Source organism: Homo sapiens, chromosome 12 (assembly GCF_000001405.40).
Source record: "Homo sapiens chromosome 12, GRCh38.p14 Primary Assembly".
NCBI lineage: Eukaryota > Metazoa > Chordata > Mammalia > Primates > Hominidae > Homo > Homo sapiens.
In genome coordinates this window covers 16019940-16038445 of record NC_000012.12, presented here as the reverse complement: position 1 = coordinate 16038445, position 18506 = coordinate 16019940, and the positions used below count along the sequence as shown (strand labels likewise).

The window sequence follows — 18506 nt, the reverse complement described above, 5'->3', positions numbered from 1 at the left end:
GACCATATCCAAAGGCACAAGTCAAAAGTTGGCATCCTGCTAAGGCACTGGGGAAAAACAGAATTTCTTTTCTATTCTTATTTTAGTCATTTCATTTACAGTTAGAGAGGTGCTCTGAGGGACTTGCTAAATTGTCTCCCGAGAGGCAAATTCTAATTTAGATTGGTACAAAAGTGTTTTCTCTTTTTAGCCATAAAACATTTTCTTGAATTTGTTCTAATTATCCTTAGGGTAATATAATTTTAGGTCTGAAAGAACTTTGATATCATTTGCCCCAACCCAATGACTTTACAGATGAAGAAACTGAGGTCAAGAGATGTGAACTGACTGGACCAAGGAGTCAAAGTCAGAAAGAGGGAGAGTTCAGGCTAGAATTCAGCAGGTGAGAAGATGAAACCAAAACTGACTTCCAGTCCAGGTTTTTGCTTATGAGCAACTAGAGAGCCATTCAGGGAAGAAAAAGACTCTCCTGATGAAAATCACCATTCAAAGAAACACATTCTGTAACGTGGTAGAGGTGCTAGCAAGCAGAATCTCCGGAAGAGCGAGGCTGGGACAGACAGAGAGCAAAAAAGCCAGCCACCATGAGGCAGATTACCGTCCTCTCAGCTGATGGGGAGCTCTGTTTATGTACACCTGACTATGTGTACCGAGGGACAGGGAGACATGGGGGTGACTGCACGCACTTGGGAGCCAGCCTGTCTGCTTGGGCTTGATTTTTAACTCTGCTAATTTTGAGCAACCTTTGGCACGTTGCTTAAACTCTTTGTTCCTCATTCCCCTGTCTGTATAAAAGGATGTTTACATGAGTACTTACTGCTATAAGAAGCAAAACCCTTAACTGTATTTACCTTACTATTATGAGGATTAAATGAGAGTTAAATAAATTGATATATGTAAAGCTTATTACACAGCAAGTGCTGTTAATATCTACTGTTTTCCTCCATTCACTATACCAGAAAATTTGAAGTTTCAGAACACATACATAAGTTGCATTCATTAATAACATACTGGGGTGTTTTACAGATATATACCCAAGGAATCAACTAGAGAGATTCAGAGACTCACTGATCAAACCTCTTTTTATGTTTAATGGATTATTTTTTCATTATGTATTGTAACAATTTTTAAGTTTTTTAAAAAAATAAACTATAGGAACTTTATTATTTTAAAAATTTTAATGATATTCATCGTTGTATATGACAATGTCAGAAATTTCATTAGGACAACAATTAATAAAAGCGCCTATCCACGGCAAAAATGAAAGATGAGTTTTCACAGCAGGAAATTAGTGCTGAATCAGTGACTCCTGAAGTCGTTACAGCAGCGCTTGCGAGATGTTGCATTTTCCTCTGCTAGGGCACACTGCTTGGGCGGTTTAATATTGTTTTTTTCTCCCTTAGAATTTGATGTTATCAAAGCTACCATTAACATTTTACTTAAAGTTTTTAGGAGAAACTCTTCACAAAGTTAATAGTGCAGATCTTCTAGTAATTAAGATCATTTCAGATGTGCCTGAAATGAGTACCACATGTGGATGAGTTTGCTTTTTCCATTCCATTAAGTTCGGTAGAAATTTTAAAGAGAGGAATGCCAGTTACCTACTGCCCAATTTTTTAATTAAATAATTTTAGCAATTACGTAGAAAAATAATTTTTAAACATTGTCGTAAAGAACTTTTCTGGAACTGGTGACTGATTTAAGACATTGGAAGATCATGATAAGCTGCATATCTTCCAGTCACATGATGGTAAATCTGTGAGGAAAAGCAGAGTTTAATTAACAATCATTCTATAATTATACACATCAGTTAATAATTATACTATCAAATAATAATAAATAGTTTTAATGAACATTTCATTAGAAAGCCTCACTAGTATGTGCTTCAGCAGAATCTCCACCCTACTCACTTCTGATGGCGGTTTGCTTGGAAGAAAAGGTAGAGGATTGGGTAGGATGAGGTCAATCAGATGAGTTTTTATCTCCAGTTCTCAATTTGACTTTTCAATTCCTTTCTCAAAAAACACTTGTTAATTTATTCCAAAGACAGAGATGATTACTCACCTGCCTCTCAATGTCCGAGAGCAGAGTACTGGCACCTATTCGAAAGAGTTCTGGCTTCAGCCACTCATCTCCAAGCTCCTCCTTTACAAGAGAGAGCCAAGCAAGGGAATCCTTTGCACTGCGGATGCCTCCTGCTGGTTTAAACCCTATCTAAATGGGAAGGCAGAGAATAGAACAATCTTTATTGTTATTGGATTTCTTTTAAAAATAGTACTATGTTTATCAGAGTCTTGATTCTCTCTCTCCCTCTTTTGTTGAAAAAAAATCTTTTCACTTCATCCAGTGAAAGGGCTTAGATCAGTGACTCATGCTCATTCACACTACAAAACAACTTTTCCAAGATTTTTGGAAGAATGTCACTACTTCCAAACAGACACTAGTGAGGGTTAATAACCCTCATTAACATTTCACTTATTGGAAAGTCATAAACCTCCACCATCTAGACTATAGCTGTGAACCTGGAATAAACAAGGAAGGTGTCAATAAATAGGAAAACAGATCACAAAAGCAAAGCCCACTCATTCTACATTTCCACAAGTAAGCCTGTAGAGTCACTTCTCAGCCTTCATCTTGAGGTTCAAAAGACACGTGCATTTAAAATCAAAGGACAGAATCAGCAAGGCTGCAAGGTTACCCTAACCAAACTGGCAGCAAAAAAGCAAGGAAAGTTGACAGTTGTTTTAACCAATTTAACTGTGGGATTTTTTTTCTAAGTTGCAGGCACACACAGTTCTAAAAAGCTGGCAGACCAGTTACATAAGGGCAGTAGAAAAACACCGTGAGGGGCTCCTCATAGTCCAGTAGTCTTTAAGGTTGATCATAACACAGCTGAATTCAGCCAATATCTGATATTCGTAAATGATGTCCCTGGATCCATTAGGAAATGAAAGATATGTTCCATATACAATAAAACTCTGATTATCTGGATTTACATGTTTCAGGAACCTGACTATCCAGTAGAGTTGGGAATCTGTAGATGGTAGTGGTCAAAACAACACCTCAGAGCCTGAGTACTAAATCTCTCACGTTTTATCACTCAGGGCTATGACTGGTTGCACCAGCAGATGACTGCTAACAGAATGCTAGAGAAGGGAGACATTAAATGAATATATTCTATTATCAACCCAAGCAGGAAACCTTATAGTTTAATCCAAACTCCACCATTCCCTGGCCACACCACACCCAATCAATATTTAAGTCCTGACAATTCTACCTCCTTACCTTCCTTACCCCCTCACATGCACTCTTTCCACTGCACTCTCACTTGTTTCAGTTTAGACCCTTATCAATTCTCACAGGAAATATCAGTAAAAGTCTTTTAACTGGTTTCCCTGCCTCAATTACACAACGTCACACAACTAAGCAGTAGCAGTGCACGGATTCCAACCATATCTGCTATTACTCTGGAGCCCAAGCTGTAAGGTAGTAGGGGGTTAAGTAGGATGAGGTTATTTGTTGAGAATAAGCCAAAAAAATCAATTAGTTGATATTAGCATACATGTTAATCATAGGACCATTTTTGTCAATTAGGCAGTGCTTCTTACAGATTTCCTATACAGTTCAGTTTGTGTCAGCAAGTCTGTTTCCAGAGAGGTTCTAACATAAGTTTATCTTTTTTTTTTTTAAAGAGAATATGGAAGACATAAATCTGCAATGAAATCAGTTATGAAATATTAAACCTCTGCTTCTCAGGAGTGACACTAATCATGGTCTGGAAGCTAGCCTATCGCATTTTAAAACACCCTTAAATCAATGACGTAGAAACTTTATAGTCTAAGGGCTGCCCAAGCAACTTGTCAAGCAACCCGAAAGGCTGCACCTGATTTGCAAACACATACACAGAACCTATTTGTTTGAAATCGAATATGATTAAATGAATACAATTTGGCTTGTACCTGTCTTTTTCTTAATAAAACTAGGATGGACTTATTTATTACCGAGGAAAAGAATCAATACAATTAAAAAGAAAGGACTGAAAGACAGCAAAGTGTCCCTCCCTCTGTACTCTGGCCTGGAACACTGAGCACTTAAAAATTTCATTGACATTCTTTGCTTGTTGTCTAAGAGCTCTCCTGAGAAGGAACATACTCATTTTTCCATTCCTAGCATTTAACACAGGTTAACATGGCACATGGTTAACTACCCAATAAATGTTTGTTGAGAACAAAACAGGACTGGGTCCCCAATGGCAGGTCTGAACCCTGGCAATGGAACTTAATGCAAACAGATGCCTGAAGACTATGCCAGACCCAAAACCACCAGGGATGGGGGCCCAGGCATCTGTAAGTATGAAAAGCTTCACATTTGGTTTTGATATTCTTTGGCTAAGAATGAGAATCACAATCAAATGAGTGGTGGTAGTTTCAACTGAGGACCAAAGATAGATTTATCATTTTTACAGCTTATCTAAACAAAAACTCTTTTAACTTATTTGGATTGTTGCAGAAAGGATACCAGGTAGAGGTTATTCGAGTTGGGTCAGCTTTCTCATGTAGTTCACAATAGATATTTATCCTATTCGTAATTAAGATGTGAAGTTATTTTAAGTGAGAAAATTCTGGAAGGAGTTTATTTCCTCTCATAAAACAGTATATTAAAAAAAAGGTCACTATTCCAAAATAAACTGAAGCTACACTTACATATAAAGTCATCACATCCAATGGACAAAGGATTAAAGGTCTTTTTTGGGTTTCTATTTGGCACAAATCAAGAGACTGGATTTAAAAGATGCCTCTCAGGAAGGGAAAGTGTCATTAAACACACACACACACACACACACACACACACACACACACACACAACCTTGCTCTCCAATCATGTAAAAAAAAAAATCCTTTGAGATAATTTGCAGCTAAACAAGTAACTTGAGATGAAAAGGAAAATCCAAACTCATTTTTAAAAAAGCAACTCATACGCATTTTTCCTTTTAACTTCATATGTTTCAAAAAATATGTATCATTTTTCGAAAAGCTGACAAAAACTAGTATACACCCTCCTCAGCTTAACAGTCTTCCAAAGAGCACATCCAACTTCCATAAAACGCAAAAATTGATATTTAATTCAAGAGCTATATAACGTCTAGCTACCTTTTCCCTGCTGTTTCACAGCATTTCATTATTTTGTTTAATAAGTTCATCTCCTCGAGAATTTTCTCTTCACCTCATATTATTAAAAGTAATAAGTTTTTCTGGACCGGGGGTTTCCCAACAGAAAAACCAATTTATGTGTGTCCTTCAATAATGACAGGAAAAGATTGTTTCCCATTATATTGCATACCTTTCATATCACCACCACAGCTTATCATTCAATAAATGTTACTCTGCAATTCTTTCCATTCCTCAAGGAAGTTTAATTTCTGCATTAACCTGTTTTCACTGGCCAACACCTTGTGAGAAAGCCTCTGTGTTGCAGCAGAATTAGTTCGTTAAAGAACCCATTTAGGAATCTCTTGTCAGTGACAAAATTGTCTTCGGTTAACAAAAGGACATAAAGTGAGTTTACATCTTGATCACACATACTCACTCCCACACTCACAACTCACTTTCTGTTCATCACAATTTTTCTCCATCAGTGTGTTCTTTTATAATGAAAGGTAAATTAAACATTTATCTTAATAAAGGTAATTCATTCACAACTTCTCCATATAAAGACAGTTATTGTGGCTGTAACTAGTATTATAAATAACATTATCTTTACTCTGAAGAAAGATTTGCTGGCAATAATATACCTTGTTTCCAGTTTTCCAGAAGAAATCTCTAATGGCCCGCAGCATTACTATAGCTACCGGGAAGGTGGCATTTACTGTTTCTTTTCCAGTAGAGGTCTTAATAAAATCTGATCCTAAAACAAAAAGAGGAAAAACTCCATGTTAATTAAAGATTCTTTTTTTACACTTTTGAGTCAGTGGGAGAAATGAGTTGTGTAAATTTTTTCCCGAAGAAACCCAATGTTATTTTTCATTAATTATTGGAAAAACTAAAACCAAAATCTCCCTTTAAAATGATTATGTCCATACTTTTTCCCCCTTACCATCACTGTATTAGGCACCAAATATATTCTCACTGACCTCTGATACTCTTGCCTCCATATTTCCACAATGCCAATTAAAATCAAGTTGGTTCATTTAATACATAACTGAGATGAATAAAAACAATTTTATGCCCTATGCTTAATATTATACATCGTAACATTTTACTACAAAACAGGAGTGCCTACTCATTTTCTCCTAATTTGCTCATGCTTAATGAAAAGTACACAGTATACAGTTGTGACAGCTCAAGAAGAATCACCATTAGCTGATTTCTATTGCATTGTTCATTAATGAAAGAACTGTCTTCCAACCAGATTAGCATTTCCATGAAAGAGACCACGCTATTTCATACCTTGCAAATATCTTAAACAACTTCCTTCCTTCAAATGTATCTTAAACCTATTAATGTAGTTTAACAAAATAACACAAGGAGACAAAGAAATGATCACAGTAGTTAAGATTCATTGAGTGCCATGCATTATGAATCTAGATGCTTTACAAGTATTAATTCAGTCAATACCTGCATGAGCTACAAATAGAGATCATAGTAATACGATCTCTACTTTTAAAGAGGAAATTGAGGCACAGAAAAGTTAAGTAAGTTACCTGAGATCACACAGTAAATGGAAAGGTAGGATTTTAACCAAAGTAATCTAGCCTAAACAATACATCACAGCGTCTCCAATAAACTTACCTAGGTTCACACAGTCAGATACCCAAACAAAGAATACCTCTTTCACGTGTTACAAGGCCCTGAAATAGTCAGTGTGGAAGATGTACCAGCAGCACGGGCACTACCAGAGGTTGTTAAAAATGCATAATCTCAGGCACTACACCAGACCAACTAAATCAGAATCTAACATAACCAAAGTTCCTAGGTGATTTGTGTGCAAATTCATGGCCCTAACCTATGGAATCTGTGGCACCATACCTAAAACAAGTCTCTGAGATCCTCCCAAAGTCCATTAACGAAGTCAAAGATAAAAGTTGAAGTGGCCTAAAGGCCCAAAGCAACACACCTTTATTAAGCACACTGTGTATAAGGCATATGGAAAAATATAAATACAAAAAATTCAAGACCTTGCCCTCAAAACCATACAATGTAGACACGGGTGGAGATGAAACGTAAACCCCGCATAATCACCAAATGAGCTAGAAGTCAGGAGATCTGGTTTCTAGCTCTGGCTCTGATAGTTACCTTTGAAATTCCATCCCCTTACATTCCTCATTTGTACGACAGGTCTAAGAAATTCCCACTTGCTTCATAGTATTACACAAAGCATCAAAAGGGACAATCGCATAGCAAGCACTTTGAAAACTGTCAATTATTATACAAAGAGAAATGAAGCAAGGACTTAAGTAGGACTGCAATCTGTACAAATTCCATGGACACTGATGCATCAGAGCAGGTCACTGGAAGCCTTCATTTCTTTGGGTCTGTAAGGCTGCCTGGGAGAAAGTGGAGACATGACTACCATGCATGCATTTGTTCAACAAATATTTACTGAGTACTACCATGTGCCAGACTCTGCTCTAAAGCTGCTGGGAATAGAGCAACCAATGAACAAAAAGTTCCTGCCTTTGTGAGCAGGTGTTCTAGAAGAGAAAGACAATAAAGAAACAAATGTCAAGTGGAGATAAGTTCTATGGAGAAATATAATACAATGTAATGAGATAGAGAGTGATGGAGTTGGTGAGGGGCAGCTATATTTAAAGAGTTATCATAAGAGCATCTCTAATTAATCAAATCCAAATAGAGATTGAATGAAGGAAATGTGCAGATATAGCATTACAAGCAGGAAAACAAAGTGTAAAGGCCTTGAGCTAGGCATATACTAAGTTCATTAATAAATGCATAGATGAACAGACTATAGAACAGGTGCCTGATGCCTACAACATCAAAAATGAGACAATCAAAAAGAAGAGATTAAAGCCTCCACATAGATGTAAGAAGGTGAGGGAAACATCCCCCAAAGAATCCATAATGATATCAAGATGTGTTTTTCTAATATGTGGCATCTTTTGATTCACTAGAAGGCTTTTGGGTATAATAATGGATATCACCTAAATTATCTTAAGCATCTTGGAAGAGAAGATTAAGACAGAAGACCAAGGCTACTGGCTGGACGTGGTGGCTCACAACTGTAATCCCAGCACTTTGGGAGGCCGAGGCTGGCAGATCACAAGGTCAGAAGTTCAAGACCAGCCTGGCCAACATAGCGAAACTCCATCTCTACTAAAAATACAAAAAAAAAAAAAAAATTAGCCGGGCATGGTGGTGGGTGCCTGTAGTCCCAGCTACTCGGGAGGCTGAGGCAAGAGAACTGCTTGAACCTGGGAGGTGGAGGTTGCAGTGAGCCGAGATTGTGCCACTGCACTCCAGCCTGGGCAACAGAGTGAGACTCCATCTCAAAAAAAAAAAAAAAAAAAAAAAAAAAGACCAAGGCTACATTTGGAGGTCTGAAAACAAGGCATGATCTCTTAAAAACCACACCATCTAAAGTTAATCAAAAGAACCAAACTCCTTCAGAAGGGCGGGGTGGACACTCTCTTTCTAATATATTTGGGAGAGCAAAGCAGAAGATCTACTATGGCAGCAACAGTAGCCCAGCAGTAGCTACAGTGGCCTACACATTATTTGCATGTCTATGCCCCTTTCTGGACGTTTAGGGGCAGGTGCTGCATCTTTCTTATACTCTTCTGTATCCTCAGAGCACGACACACAGGAGAAGCTCAATAAATAATTTCTAGATGGATGGACACAGCTACCAAGAAAAAAAAAACTACAGTATTTTCCACCTTTAACTGACTAATGAAGAAGGGAAAATAATCTTGTGTTTCATTCCAGTCCCAGTAACAAAACTGGGCTGGTGGCTCAGAACAAAATAGTTTGTTTATTTATTTATTTATTTATTTATTTATTTTGAGACGGAGTCTCGCTCTGTCACCCAGGCTGGAGTGCAGTGGCGCGATCTCGGCTCACTGCAAGCAAGCTCCGCCTCCCGGGTTCACGCCATTCTCCTGCCTCAGCCTCCCGAGTAGCTGGGACTACAGGCGCCCGCCACTACGCCCGGCTAACTTTTTGTATTTTTTAGTAGAGACCGGGTTTCACCGTGGTCTCTATCTCCCGACCTCGTGATCCGCCCACCTCAGCCTCCCAAAGTGCTGGGATTACAGGCGTGAGCCACCGCGCCCGGCCAGTTTGTTTATTTTTAAATAATCTTTTAGTTTTAGAACAAAATTCAATATACAGAAAAATTACAGCGATAATACAGAGTTTCCATATACCCCACACCCAGTTTTCCCTATTATTACTATCTTATATAATTATGGTACATTTGTAACAATTAAGGAACCAATGCTGATATACTATTAACCAAAGTCCACACTTTATAGATTTTTTTTAGTATGACTCAATAACCAATCCCATCTAGCATACTACATTTGTCAGGCCTCCATAGATTGCTCTTGGCTGTGATAGTTTCTTAGATTCTTCTTATTTTATTTTGATGATCTTGACAGTTTTGAAAGTACTGGTCAGTATTCTCAAAATACTCTCCCTCCCTCAATTGGGATTTGTTAAATGTTTTTCTCATCACTGGACTGAGGTTATAGGTTTGGTAAGACCATAGAGGGAAACTGCTATGTTAATCACATTATGTCAAGGGCACATACTAGCACCATGATTTACCACTGTTGATGTTGACCATGAGCACTTGGCTGAGGTAGTTAGTGTTGGCTCGGTTTCTCCACTGTAAAGCTAATCTTTTTCCCCCATTTTTCATACTGTACTCTTTGAAAAGAAGTCATTATGGGTATCCCACATTTAAGGAGTGGGAAGTTATAATCCACCTCCTCGAGCAGGGGCTTGGCTACATAATTACTTGGAATTTTATATGGGAAGGTTTGTGTCCTCTCCATTTTAAAATTTAAAATAATTTACTTAATATCAGTATACACTTGAAGATATTTATTTTACACTTGGGTTTATAATTCCTCACTACCTTATTTATTTTATTGTTCACACGGTTCCAGCTTTGGCCACTGGGAGCTCTTTCAGTTGCTTCCTGTATGCCTTTGCATCATGTGGATTTTTCTGTTTTTTAAGCACTTACTTTCTGAGACTAGAAGATGCTCAGGGCTTATCTTGTGTGTTTTCTGCACCAGTCCTGGTATAAGCCATTTCTCCAATGAGCCCTGGCTCCTTTTACTGGAGAATGGTATTGGAAACCACTATATGGGTGCTAGGTATGCTCACTGCTGCTCTAGTGTTCTTGCTTTTAGCTCTCCTAGCTGACTGAGCAGGGAAATATATCTGTGTATATTAATGCATTTATATACACATATCTGTAAATATATGGAATCCATGGATACTGGATGCTTTTGCAAATAGTTTTCTAAATTTCAAATTCCAATTGTACACTGCTGCTAGACAGGAAAGCAACTGAATTTTGTATATTAACCATGCATCGTGCAACCTTGGTAAACTCATTTAGCAATTTCAGGAGTTTGTTGATTTGGGGGGATTTTCTACGATCATGTTTGTAAACAAAGACAGTTTTATATCTTTCTTCTCATACCTGTTTCTTATTGTTGTTGTAACAAGGGATCACAAACTTGGTGGCTCAAAACAACAGAAGTGTATTCTCTCACCATTCTGGAGGCCAGAAATCCAAAATAAAAGTGTCAGCAGAGCCATACTCTCTGTGGAGACTCTAGGGATAATCTGTTCCTTGCCTCTTCTAATGGCTTTCAGCATTTCTCAGCTGCATCACTCCAATTCCTGCTTTTGTCTTCATACAGTCTTTTGTTTATGAGTCTAATCTCCCTCTGAGTCTTTCTTACACACTTGTCATGATGCCTTCTACAGCCCATCTGGATAATCCAGAATGATCACCTCACTGCAAGACCTTTAAATCAATCACACCTGCAACAGCTCTTTTTCCCAAAGAGGGTAACATTCACAGGTTCCAGGGATTAGGATGTGAACCTATCTTCAGGAGTCATCTTTAGCCTACCAAACTTCTTGACCTGTACACATTTTATTTCCTTTCCTTGTCTAGCTAGGACTTCCAGTACAATGTTGAATAGCAGTGGTAAGAGAGAATATCCTTGCCTTATCCTTAAGAGGATCTTAGGAGGAAAGCACGCAATTTCTCAATATTAAGTATGTTGGCTGAGGTTTGTTTGCAGATGTTCTTTATTAAGTTGAAGATATTTCCCTCTATTTCTAGTTTGCCGAGGCTTTCTTATAAATGGGTGTTGGAATTTGTCAGATGCCTTGTCAGTATCAATTGATATAATCATATGATTTTTCTTCTTTGGCTTACTGATATGGATTACATTATGTTGAACCAGACTTGCATACCTGGAATAAATCACACTTGGTTGTGGCATATAATTAGTTTTATACATTGTTGGACTCATTTTGCTAATATTTTGTTAAGGATTTTTATATGTATGTTCATTAAAGATGTTCATCTATAGGTTTTCTTTCTGGCAGTGTCTTTATCTGGTTTTGGAGTAATGGTTTTGGAGTAATTGTCTCACAGAATGAGTGTTCTCTCTTCTATTTTCCGGAAGAGATTGTAGAAGACTGGTATTATATCTTCCTTAAATGTTTGGCAGAATTCACCAATGAAGCCATCTAGAGCTGGTGCTTTCTTTTGGAAGGTTATAAATAGTTTTTAGTAATTTGTTAAATTTTTAAATAAATAATTTTATATAATTAAAATATGTTATATATTTACATAAATGTGTAAATATATTTACAATTTATGTAAAAGTCACATTAAATATTTTATAAAAGAAATTAAATTAAATTTAAATAATTTCTTTAATAGATATAGACCTATTCAGACTATTTCTCCTTGTGAGTTTTGGTTGTTTATGTCTTTTGAGGATTGATCCATTTCACCTAAGTTATCAAATTTGTGAAAATAGAGCTGTTCACACATTCCTTTATAATCCTTTTAATATCCATGGGAAGAGGAGATGACCCTTCTTTCATTTCCGATATGGGTAATTTATGTCTTTTCTCTTTTATTCTTGATTAGCCTAGCTAGCTGTTTACCAATCTTACGGGGGGAGAAAAAAAAAAGTAGCTTTTAGGATATTTAAAAAAAAAAATTTCTCTGTTGTTTTTGTTTTCAATTTCATCATTTCTGTTCTCATTTCTATTCCTCCTGTTTGCTTTAGGCTTAAATTGCTCTTCTTTTTCTACTTTCCTAAGATGAAAGCTTGCATATTGACTTTATTCTTTTCTAATATATGCATCTAATGCCATACATTTCTTTCTAAGCACTGCTTTTGGAACATCCTACAAATTTTGGTGGTGTATTTTTATTTTCATTTAGTTCAAAGTATTTTAAAATTTCTCTTGAGACTTATTTGACCCATATGTTATTTAGGAGTGTGTTGTTTAATTTCCAAACATTTGGGGATCTTTCAGCTAACTTTCTGCTATTGAATTCTAGCTTAGTACCATTGTGGTCTGAGAACATATTTTGTGTGATTTTCAGTCTTTTAAATCTGTCAAGGTGTGTTTTATGGACCAGAATGTGGTCTATCTTGGTTAATGTTCCATGTGAACATTGAATATGTATTCTGCTGTTGTTGGATGAAGTTTTCTATAAATGTTAATTTGATCATATTGAATGACAGTGCTGTTCAGGTCAACTATATCCTTGCTGTTATTCTGCCTGCTTCAGCCATCAGTGACTAAAAGAGGAGCTTTGAAGTTTCCAGCTACAATAGTAGATTTGTTTATTTCTTTTTTTCAGTTCTATAAAATTTTTGCCTCATATTTTGATGCTCTGTGGCTAGGTGCATACATACATAGGATTGTTATGTCTTCCTTGAGAAATGACCCCCTCATCATTATAAAATATCCTTTTTTATCGCTGATAGTGTTCCTTTTTCTGAAGTCCGCTTTGTGTGAAATTCATATAGCTACTCCCACTTTACTTTGATGAGTGTTAGCATGGTGCATCTTTCCTATTTGTTTATTTTTAACCTTCTGAGTCTTCACATTTAAAGTGGCTTTCTTACAGACAACATATAGTAGGATCTTGATTTTTTATCATCTCTATCTTCTAATTGGCATATTTAGACTACTAACATTTAAACTAATTACTGATGTAGTCAAATTAATATATACCATGTTTATTACTTTTCCATTTGTTGCATTTTTTTGGTTAATTTTGACACCTATTTTTCTGCCTTTCCTGGCTTAATTGAGCATTTTATATTATTCCATTTTATCTCTTCTCATATCAATCATACTTTTGTACATATTTTAGTGACTGCCCTAGAGTTTTCAATATACATTTTTAACTAAGTCCACCTTCAAATAACACTATACCACTACATAGGTACTGCAGGTACATTTTAACAAAGTATTCCCAATTCTTTTCTCCTGTGTCTTATAACACTGCTGTCATTCATTTCAGCTTACCTATCTGGTAATATAACAATTCAATAAATTGTTATATTATTACTTTAAATTGTTATCTTTTAAATCAGTTAAAAATTTATTTTTATTTTTCATTTACTCCTTCTCTAATGCGCTTCCTTTTTAAATGCAGATCAAAGCTTCTGATCTATATAAGTTTTCTTCTCCCTGAGAAACTTGTTTTAACATTTCAGTGTAATAAGAGTGGATTACAGCGTAATAAGAGTGGATTACAGCTGACAGAGCTAAAATACACAGGCTCTCTGAAGCCTTGGGAAGCTTTGCTGGCAATTAATTACTTCAGTTTTTGTTTGTCTGAGCTCCTTCAATTTAGAAAAATAGCTTCATTGAACACAGAATTCCATGTTGTTGGGTTTTTGTTTTTGCTTTTTTCTTTAAACCCTTCTAAGTATTTCACTCCACGCTGACATGTTTTCCAATGAGAAGTCCATTGTAGTAATTTTTTCTTCTCAATGAAAAGTGTTTTCTTTCTCTGGCTTTTTGCAAGATTTTCTATTTGTCTTTGGTTTTCTTCAATTTGACTATAATATGTCTAGGTGCACAGTTTTTAAATACTTGTCCTACTTGGTGTTCTCTGAGCTTCCTGGATCTGTGGTTTGGTGTCTCACATCAATTTTGGAAAGTTCCTGGCCATTACTTCAAATATGTTGTCTGCTCTATTTTCTTTCGTCTTCTAGTATTCCAATTATACACCATATGTTATGCCTTTTGAAACTGTCCCAAAGTTTTTGGATGTTCTGTTCTGTGGGGGTTTTTCTTCCCAGTTTTTTCTCTTCACATTTCAGTTTAAGAAGTTTCTATTGACCTATCTTTAAGGTCACTGATTTTTTTCCTCAGCAGTTTCCAGCTTACTGATGTACCCATCAAAAGCATTCTTCATTTTGTCCCAGTGTTTCTGATTTCTAGCATTTCCTTTCAATTCTTACTTAGTTTCCATCTCTCTGATTCTATTATGCATCTTTTTTCATGTTGTCTGTTTTTTCATTAAAGCTATTAACATACTAGTCATAGTTATTTTAAATTCTCTGTCAGATAATTCCCAAATCTATGCCATATCTGAATCTGATTCTGATACTTGTTTTCTCTATAAAGACTGTTTGAGGCCGGGCGCGGTGGCTCACGCCTGTAATCCCAGCACTTTGGGAGGCCGAGGCGGGCGGATCACGAGGTCAGGAGATCGAGACCATCCCGGCTAAAACGGTGAAACCCCGTCTCTACTAAAAATACAAAAAATTAGCCGGGCGTAGTGGCGGGCGCCTGTAGTCCCAGCTACTTGGGAGGCTGAGGCAGGAGAATGGCGTGAACCCGGGAGGCGGAGCTTGCAGTGAGCCGAGATCCCGCCACTGCACTCCAGCCTGGGTGACAGAGCGAGACTCCGTCTCAAAAAAAAAAAAAAAAAAAAAAGACTTTGAGTTTTTTTTCTTGCCTCTAGCATCCAATGTATTTTTTGTTGAAAGCTATGCATGATATATTGGGTAACATGAACAAAAACAAATGGGCCTTTGGTGTAAGGTTTTATGTTAATCGGGCAAGGAGTTGGGCTGTGTTTAAGGTTTGCTGTAGCTGCCATAGTCTTCAAATTTCTATAGTATTCTTGTTTTTATCTCCCCTCTTTATTCTGGGCTTCCCTAAAATTCCTCTTCAGAGAGCCTATGTATTTTAGCTCTGTCAGCTGTAATCTTATACTGAAACCATGTTGCTGTGGTGGTAACAGATGAGGGAGGAGTATTCTATAGCCTTAGTATTAAATCTCAGTCTTTCAGTGGTCCTGTGTCCCTGGGCTGTAACTGTCACAAATGTTTCTTAGCTTTTCTCCGCCCATTTTGATGAGACAGAAAGACTAGAGAGGAAATGCCCTTCTCTCAAGCGGGAAAAGACTTAGTATTTTGTCCTAGAGTAGGCTTTACTATAGGGAATATGCTGGGCATATTGCACAATGATTATCTTCTCCTTCTCCTGCCAGAGCCAAGAAGGGACCTTCTTTGGCTCTTCACTGTGAGAACCTGGTGGGGTTCTTGGAGGTAAAACCCAAAAAAGAGTGGGGGCCACACTCAGCCTCCAGTAATTTGTCAAAATTACCATTTAAGTGTTCCTACTAGGTTTTGGTTCTAGTAGCTTCTGCTCCAGGTAAGCAAATTTCAGCTGAGACGCTCAGGATTTATCTGTCTCTCTGGATTTCAAGCTGACAGTTTACCTTGCGACCTCAGGTCTTTGATGGGTCTGAGAAAAGTCACTCATTTTCAGTTAATTCTGCTTTTTCTTGCTCTAAGGACAGGAGTGACAACTTCCAAGCTCTTTATATGTTAAAGCTGAAACTGGAAGTCCTTAAATATCAAGCCAAGCCTTTATTGTCTAGAGATTAGGTGTGGGGGGAAATAAGAATGTATCTGGTAGTTATGGTGTTTCTGAACATATGCTGTGTTAGTCCATTATTGCATTGCTATAAAGGAATACCTGAGGCTGGGTAATTTATAAAGAAAAGAAGTTTAATTAGCTCACAGTTCTTCAGGCTGTACAAGAAGTGTTGTATCAGGATTGGCTCCTGGTAAGGGCCTTGGGAAGCCTACGATCATGGCAGAAGGCAAAGAGGGAGCACACATGTCACATGGCAAGAGCAGGAGCAAGAGAGAGAGAGGGAAGGTGCCACATTCTTTTTAAACAACCAGATCTTGTGAGAACTCATTCATCACCAAGGGGATGGTGCTAAGACATTCATGAGGGATCTACTACCATGATCCAAACACCTTCCACCAGGCCCTGCCTCCATCATTGGGGATTACATTTTAACATGAGATTGGGAGGGGACAAACATCCAAACTATATCATTCTGCGTCTGGTCTCTCAAATCTCATGTCCTTTTCACATTGCAAAACACAGTAATACCCTGTCAACAGTTCTGCAAAGTCTTAACTTGTTCCAGCCTTAGCTCAAAAATGCCAAAGTCTAAAGTCCAAAGTCTTATCTGGAGATGAGTTCCTTCCACCTGTCAGCCTGAGATCAAAAACAAGTTATACTTCCAAGATACAATTGTGGCAAAGGTGCTGGGTAAACATTACCATTCCCAAAGGGAGAAATCAGCCAAAAAAGGGGGAGGGGTGCGCTATAGGCCTCATACAAGCCCCAAACTCAGCAGGGCAGTCATTAAGTCTTAAAGCTCCAAAATAATCTCCTTTGACTCCATGTCCTGCATCCAGGGCACACTGGTGAAAGAGGTGGGCTCCTAAGTCCTTGGAAAGCTCTGCCCTGTGGCTTTTCCATGTGGTAGTTGCAAACTGCTGGTGGCTCTACCATTCTGGGGTCTGGAGAGTGGCAGCCCCATTCCCACAATTCCACTAAGACAGCGCTGCAGTGGAGACTCTGTGTGGGCTCCACCCTACATTTCCCTTCAGCACTGCCTTAGTAGAGAATCCCTGCCTGGGTACCCAGTCTTTCTGACACATCCTCTGAAATCTACATGGAAGCTGCCAGACCCCCTTCACTCTTGCATTCCATGAACCTCAAGGCTTAACATCACATAGAAACCAGCAAGGCTTACAACTTGTACTCTCCACAGCAGCAGCCTGAGCTGTATCAGTTGTCCTTTCAGCTGAGGCTTCTAGGATTCTGGTGGCAGCATACTGAGGCTGTGCAAGGCAGTAGGGCTCTGGGCCTGTCCCCTAAAACCATTCTTTCCTCCTAGGCCTCTGGGCCTTTGATGGCAGGGGCTGCTTCGAAGACCTCTGAAATGCCTTCAAGTCTTTTCCCCACAGTCTTATATATGAGCACTTGGCTCCCTTTTAGACAAGCTAATCTCTCTAGCAAGCAGTTGCTCCACAGCCTGCTTGAATTCCTTCTCTACCACAGGGAAAGGCTGCAAATTTTCCCAACTTTTATACTCTGCTTCCCATTTAAATATAAGTTCTCACATTAAGTAATTCCTTTGCTCCAGCATGTGACTGTAGGCTGTTAGAAGTAGCCGGGCCACATCATGAATGCTTTGCTGCTTAGAAATTTCTTCCTCCAGATACCCTAGTTCATCACCCTTAAATTCAAATTTCCTCAGATCCCTAGGGCATGAACATAATGCAGCCAAGTTCTTTACTAGGACATAACAGGGGTGACCTTCACTCCAGTTCTCAATAACTTCCTCATTTCCATCTGAGACCTCCTCAGCCTTGACTTCATTGTCTATATTTCTGTCAGCATTTTCTCACAACCATTTAACCAGTCTCTCATAAGTTTCAAACTTTCTCTCATCTTCCTGTCTTTTTCTGGGCCCTCCAAACTCTTCCAACCTCTCCATTACCCAGTTCCAAAGCTGCTCCCACATTTTCAGCTATCTTTATAGCAACACACCACTCCTGGTATCAGTTTTCTGTGTTAGTCCATTCTTGCATTGCTACAAAGGAATATCTGAGGCTGAGTGATATGGTTTAGGTCTGTGTCTCTGCCCAAATCTCATGTCAAATTGTAACCCCCACCCCAATGTTCAGGTGTCTCTGGTAGGAAGAGATTGGATCATGGGGGTAGATTTCCCCTTTCGTGCTGTTCTCGCAATAGTGAGTTAATATGAGATCTGGTGGTTTAAAAGTGTGTAGCACCTCCCCTCCTCTCTCTTCTTCCTGCTCCAGCCATTTAAGACATGCCTGCTTCCTCTTCCACCATGACTAAAAGTTTCCTAAGGCCTCCCCAGCCATGCTTCCTGCACAGCCTGTGGACTAATACATTGGGTAATTTATAAAGAAAAGAGGTTTAATTGGCTCACAATTCTGCAGACTGTACAGTAAGTGTGGTGCTTGGATCTGCTCCTAGAGAGGCTCCTGGGAGGCTTACAATCACAGCAGAAAGCAAAGAGAGCAGGCATGTCAGATGGCGAGAGTGGGAGTGAGATGCGGGGAGGTGCCATGCTCTTTTAAAAAACCAGATCTCATGTGAGCTCAGAGCAAGAAATCACTCATC

The 18506-nt window shown here is 38.3% G+C and overlaps 1 protein-coding gene across 3 annotated transcripts in view, besides 1 other annotated feature; it reads right to left on the bottom strand.

The window, feature by feature from the left end:
- Positions 1-1064: 1064 nt before the first annotated feature.
- Positions 1065-18506, bottom strand: part of DERA (deoxyribose-phosphate aldolase) — a 126050-nt gene continuing 108608 nt past the window's right edge. For all 3 annotated transcript variants that reach the window (XM_024449001.2, NM_015954.4, NM_001300779.2), the window contains 3 exons: positions 5792-5904; positions 2065-2214; positions 1065-1756 (listed from right to left, as the gene is read on the bottom strand). In XM_024449001.2, the coding sequence (XP_024304769.1) occupies positions 1700-1756; positions 2065-2214; positions 5792-5904 (320 nt within the window). In that variant the 3' untranslated portion in view covers positions 1065-1699. The remainder of the gene's footprint in view (positions 1757-2064; positions 2215-5791; positions 5905-18506) is intronic.
- Positions 7277-7571: a silencer, noted in NCBI's record as "tiled region #3277; HepG2 Repressive DNase matched - State 9:DNaseU". NCBI's record gives its function as "represses a minimal TATA promoter and a strong SV40 promoter by Sharpr-MPRA in HepG2 cells {active_cell/tissue: HepG2}" and the evidence as "EXISTENCE:reporter gene assay evidence [ECO:0000049][PMID:27701403]".